Here is a 6,446-nt window from a genome sequence, read left to right as displayed (position 1 = left end):
GGCAGTGTCTGGTGAGGACGCTCTTCCTAGTTTGCAGAGGTGTCTTCTCCTTGTATCCTGACATTTTAGTCGGGGAGTAAGAGAGGGAAGCACTGTCCTATAGTGTTTCTTCTTATAAAGGCACACATCCCAACATGAAGGATCCATCTTCATGACCTAATCACCTCCCAAATGCCCCATCTTTAAATACCATCACATTTGCTATTAGCCTTTCAATATATGAATTTTGGGGAACACAAACATGCAGCCCATATCACTTCCTATAAATATTGCAATTCATCTATACACATGCTGATATGGTTTGGCCATTACCCCACCCAAATCTCATTTTGAACTGTAGCTCCCATAATTCCCAGATGTCTTGGGAAGGACCCAGTGGGAGGTTATTGAATCATGGGAGTGGGTCTTTCCCTTGTTGTTCTCATAATAGTGAATCAGTATCATGAGATCTTATGGTTTCATACATGGGAGTTCCTCTGCACGAGCTCTCTTGCCTGCCACCATGTATGTGTCCCCTTGCTTTTCCTATGTCTTCTGCCATAATTGTGAGGCCTCCCCAGCCATGTGGAACTGTGGGTCCATTAAACCTCTGTCCTTTATAAATTACCCAGTCTTGGGTATGTCTTTATTTGCAGTGTGAGAACAGACTAATACATGTGCCTACTATTTTCTGCCAGACTAGAGCAAGACAAGCACGTGCAAGTATTATATCTTAGTTTTTAAAATAAAAATTTCTTAAGTAAGAGTTGTTAAATAAGTATTCACTAAAGGAGTGAAATTTCAGGATTTTAATTAAAGAAAATATCAGCTTAGAATGCAGTAAAGAAGGAAGATCATGAAAATGTCAACTTGGGGTTGTTCTTGAAAAGTTTGAAGGTTTACTCAGGCAAAAAGGTTGACAAAGGTTAATTAATATATAATAATTAATATTTGACATAATGGATTCATGACAATTAATAGGAAAAGGACAGTGGCAAGAGTAAACCAGTGCAATTTTGAAGGAGTGATGGGAAATAAGCTTTAATTAAAAAGTTCATGTCATGCTTTAGGGACTTTAGAAGATATCTAATAATATGTGGCACCTATTTCTCAGACAATGTGCTAAGTGATGTTCTAAAATATTATTTGCAATTCAGTCTACCATTCATTAACTTCATGCTTCAAATGAAGAAACCGAGGCTCAGGAAAAAAGATAAAGGAAAGAATAAAAGAGATAAAATTAAAGTAAACCTGAACTTCATGTATCAGAGGAAGCAATTGTGAATGACAATCACGATCTTAAGATCACACAAGAACATTTTGTAGAATTGTAGGAGTGTTTTTGTTCCATGAATATCCTATTTCTCTGTTGGAAAGTAAGTTGGAGAACTTTGGACTAGATCTGATAAAAAATAATGATTCATGTTTTTTTGTTAATGGAAACAATGGAAGCATAATTATGATAGTGGCTGAAAAGCATTAACAAAATAATGACACTTAAGGTAATGAAAGTGCTTACTACCCTGCCGGGCCCTGAGCTAAGCATATTGTATGCACTGTCAAAAAGTACTTTGAGCAAGCCATTATTATACCAGTCTTACAGGTAAAGGCAAGTATTTATGGAGATTGTGTAAATTGTTGAAAGCTGCATATCTAGTAGGTAGTGAAAAATGCAGGCCTATCTTAAAGTGCATGCTTTGCCACCAAAAGTTTAAAAAATGTAATATATTAACACTATTTAATAAGATTGCTATGGAATGTGAGTTTCTCTGAAGAAATACTCTGAAGGACTTTGAGGCTTAATACTGGAGATTAATGAGACAGATGAGTCACTTGGAACTAAAATTATTCTGAACCTAATCTAGTCTTTTTTTGATGATTCAGAATGCATTTTGGGAGCTTCATTATCAACACAAATTATCATTATACTGGTGATTCAAAATGCTGGATGATAAGAATATTCAACAAGATCATGTAACATGGGAATGATTCATTTCATGAATAGCTAACTTTATTAGATTATATAGTTACATCCAATTCAAAATGTCCTTCATGGAGTAAGAAAGTAACAATTTTTACCCTACTTTAAAAGAAGAATAGAATAGATTAAAAATCTTGCCCAAAGTGGTGTTAAAAAGTTACAGAACCAAAGCTAAAATCAATAAAACTGATTTCAGTGTTATTCATTAATTACCAAAATATGTTCACCAGAATAATTGTCCTCCAGGGTGATGGTGATTATCCAGTTCAAACAGGTGGGAATTTGTTGCCCGGAGTGGTGGGGGAGGAGGGGATCTTTTATAAGTAAATTAGTTTCAATTTTGCATATGGAAAAGGTGTCCAAATCATAATTGAGTATAATATTCAGGTTTACATCCAAGGCAGAATTTCACTAAGACTTCTGATGGCCATTTAGTTTTGCAAAACTTCCCACATAATATGTACACACATAGATGCTCTGAATTTCCATAAATTTTGAAAAAACCATCTTGTAATCCGTGCATTATTTCTATTGTCCTGAAATTATTGCAATTATTCTATTTTCAATTGCTAAGATTATTGAAAATGACTGGCAATTTATCTCCATCATCATCTTCTCAATTTCTGTTGGATTGTCTTTAACACTCAGTGAATGAGGGTATTTATTTGCATCAGTAGAATATCGGCTCCATGGCATTCCCATGTTCTCACTGTTCAAATATGAATTATTTGTATCTCCATTGCCAGAATAGATTTATTAATAATCTTAAAGAAAATCCTGTAGCATTCCCCTTCACTGTTTTGAAACTCTTTATGAATTTGTGCTATTTAAATTATTCACGAAAGTGTTAAATGACTGGCTTATTTTTTAACGAATAGAACATATTAATAAGAAAAATCTTGAAATAAAAGTTTATCTTTTCTGGCAATATATTGCACTAGAAACTATGAGAACCCTTGCAGTAGCAACTACTGAAAAATGTTGAGTAAACTAAATCAAACAAACGTTTGTAGCTGAGCTCCCAATTAGGTACAGGATTAACCAGAGGACACAAATGAAGAGGAAACTGAAAATGAGACTGTGCATGGTCCAAACAGTTTAGTGGTTGAGGCTGAGACAGAAGGGAGCTACTGTGCTTAGAATTCGGGGTTTAAATGTCACTCCTGCACATAAGAAAAGGCTTTCAATTTAAACAAAGCAGAGCTGAGAAACAGTAAAATTAATGTCTCAAGAATGTACTATAATCATAATGGAAGAGTATATACACAAAAAATTCTGGACAGTAAGGAAAATAACCTGAAATGGATGTTTTCTATCTTCATCTGGATTCTGAATAAAATAAAATAATAACTTTTTTTTTTTTTTTGAGGCGGAGTCTCGCTCTGTCACCCAGGCTGGACTGCAGTGGCGCGATCTCTGCTCACCACAAGTTCCGCCTCCCGGCTTCACGCCATTCTCCTGCCTCAGCCTCCCGAGTAGCTGGGACTACAGGTGCCCGCCACCACGCCCTGCTAATTTTTGTACTTTCAGTAGAGACGGGGTTTCACAGTGTTACCAGGATGGTCTCGATCTCCTGACCTCGTGATCCGCCCGCCTCAGCCTCCCAAAGTGCTGGGATTACAGGCGTGAGCCACCGTGCCCAGCCAAAGTAATAATAATTAAACTTTACAATCTTTTATCAAAGAATTGACCTAAGATTTGTAGTTAGAATTTAGTCTTTCTTCCTGGAACACCCAATCTAATACAAAACTTTCACCCGGTAATGGCTTTCAGAAGAATAAGATTCAAATGATTTTTGTTTTAAAAGCTTTTGCAAGATCAGTATGAAAAGAAAATAATTAAGATATAAAGGTAATACTAAATAAGGGGACAGAATTTAACATGCCTATGCATAAAAAGCATCTATTAATACAGTGTAAATATGTAAATCCTCTTCAAATTAAGCTAAAAGCCACATGTAATAAGTTGCAATCAAAATGGTTTTCATGGTAGTTTTTGAGGGTTTTCAAACAGAAATGAAAGAACACAAGATTAAATACAGCCAAAAGTTCTTGAAGAAAGAGATGAGAAGATTTTCTCTATAATATATTCATTCTTATAATCACAGTCCTCATAGTGGTGCCAGTGAAGATAAATCTGTTAGTAAAATAGAGTTTATAGTAGAGAAGCAGACTTATGTCTGTATGGAAATTAGATGTAATGAAGAGCTGTCTTTGCAATTTTCTATTTTCTTTTTTAAGAGACAGTGTCTCATTCTGTCACCCAGGCTGGAGTGCAGTGACATTACCTTGACTCGCTGCAACCTCTGCCTCCCAGGCTCAAGTGATCCTCCCACCTCGGCCTCCCAAGTAGCTGGGACCACAGGCCACCTAGCCTGGCCAATTTTTGTATTTTTTTGGTACAAACAGTGTCTCACTATATTTCCCAGGCTGGTTGTGTCCTCCCATAATGCTGGTGGTACAAGTGTGAGCTACCTTGCCTGGACCTATAAATTTTAGAAGAAAGCAATGATTCCTTGAACAATGTGATGAAAAGAAACCTAGTTATGAATTGGAGAAAGAGAAGTAATAGATTTCTACAATATACTCAATCCAAAAATAGATTTCTTATGCATTAAAGACTAAATGTAGAAGAAAATGTATGTGATTATCTATATGGCATTGATATCAGAAATAATTTTTATATAAAGCAAGATAGAAAAATAAAACATATTTCTAAAATTTGCATTAATAATATTCTGTGCATCCAAATATTTTATACATATATTAAAATGCAAACTACAGACTATAAGATGTTTATAATGCATATAGTTGAGAAATATTCATAGCTAAAATACATAAAGAATTTTAATTTTCATTTTAAAAATTATTTATTTATATTGTAGATTCAGGGGTACTTGTGCAGATTTGTTACACGGGTATATTGCATAATGCAAGGTTTTGTGTTTCTAGTGAACCCATCACACAAATAGTGAACATAGTACTCAGTAATAAGTAATTTTTCAGTCATCACCCCCACTCCACCATCCCCACTTTTGGAGTCCCCAGTGTCTGTTGTTTTCATCTTTATGTCTACGTGTACCCATTGATTAGCTCCCTTTTATAAGTGAGAACAATCTGTATTTGATTTTCTGTTTCTGAGTTATCTCACTTAGGATATTCGCCTTCAGGTGCATCCATGTTGCTGCAAAAGACATGATTTTATTGCAATATATATAAATAAGTTTTAAAAATAAAAACTATAAGTATAATCTGCTTTTTAAAAAATGGTGAAAGATATGGGCATGCAATTTAGAGAGGAGGAGATCTGAATGGCCAATAAAGATAAGAAAGTGCTAAGCTGAATAGAAACTGGAGAAATTAAGGCCACAATGAGGTACATTTTCAAACATATTATACTGGAAAATTTTAAATAGTCTGACAATACCAAGTGTTGGTGATGATGTAGACCAGAGAGAACTCTCATAATTCTGTTGTTAGGAGTAGAAGCTGATACAACCACTTAAAGAGCAATTCTGCAATATGTAATATAATACATTTTCACATTTATGAGAAGCAAATCTGGAGGATGCTGGAGGCTGGATTAATTCCCCCTTTTGATAGTTCAGTGGAGGGCCCGTTCAACTGGAAATGGCTAACCCGCACAGAGACAGTAAGGCTTTGGATAATGCCAGCATTCCTGGCAGGTGGGGCTTTTCATCTTGGTTTTCTGAATGCTTATACTCTATAGTGTAGTTCCTGCCCCTGGATATCTCTTGACAGTCCCTTGTTACTCAGAGAAAATAGATTTTTACTCCTTTGATATGCCCTTGTTACTTAGAGAAAATAGTTTCTTATTCCCTTTAGGCAAATCTAATTGCCTCGCTGATGTGGCAGAAACCTGCATTTTCATAGAGATTTTCTCCTAATCACTTGCCCACACATTTCTCCACAAGACATCTAGAGAACCTGCCATTTCCTGCTTACCAGGTGTAATTAACTTGACAGTATCAATATACTAGACCAGCATAAGGCTTTCTGGAATGTCTGAACAATCAAGGCCTTTATGCAATATGTAAATTGTGGTAGAGAACAAGAGAATTAAGGCATTTGTACGGATGCCCTGATGGGAAATAAAAAGAATGCAGTCATCATATCGATAACCATAAATCAGGTGTCTGAGTTTGTGTTAATCTCTTTCAAAAAACATGTAAAAGTTTTCCACAGCAAATATGATCGAGGTTACCACTAGGTTAAGGTTATGTTAATTTATATCACCTTCCATTATCCATCCAGAGTTTGTGGGGCACACAAAGCAGCAATCCTGAAACTATTAAGTCTTTGGATATGTTATAACTCTTTACTATTCTACTTAGGATATGGCTATTGCTTCTGATTAACTTGGCCAGGAGAAGTGGCCAATGGTTTGAAAGTACTCCCACTTGGTCTTTGTTATGAAAGTTTTTGTTCCATACGGTGGGAAGCCAATATAAGGTTTCTGCAAGCTG

This window comes from Homo sapiens, chromosome 13 (genome assembly GCF_000001405.40).
Source record: "Homo sapiens chromosome 13, GRCh38.p14 Primary Assembly".
Classification (NCBI taxonomy): Eukaryota; Metazoa; Chordata; class Mammalia; order Primates; family Hominidae; genus Homo; species Homo sapiens.
Note: the sequence above shows the minus strand (reverse complement) of the source record.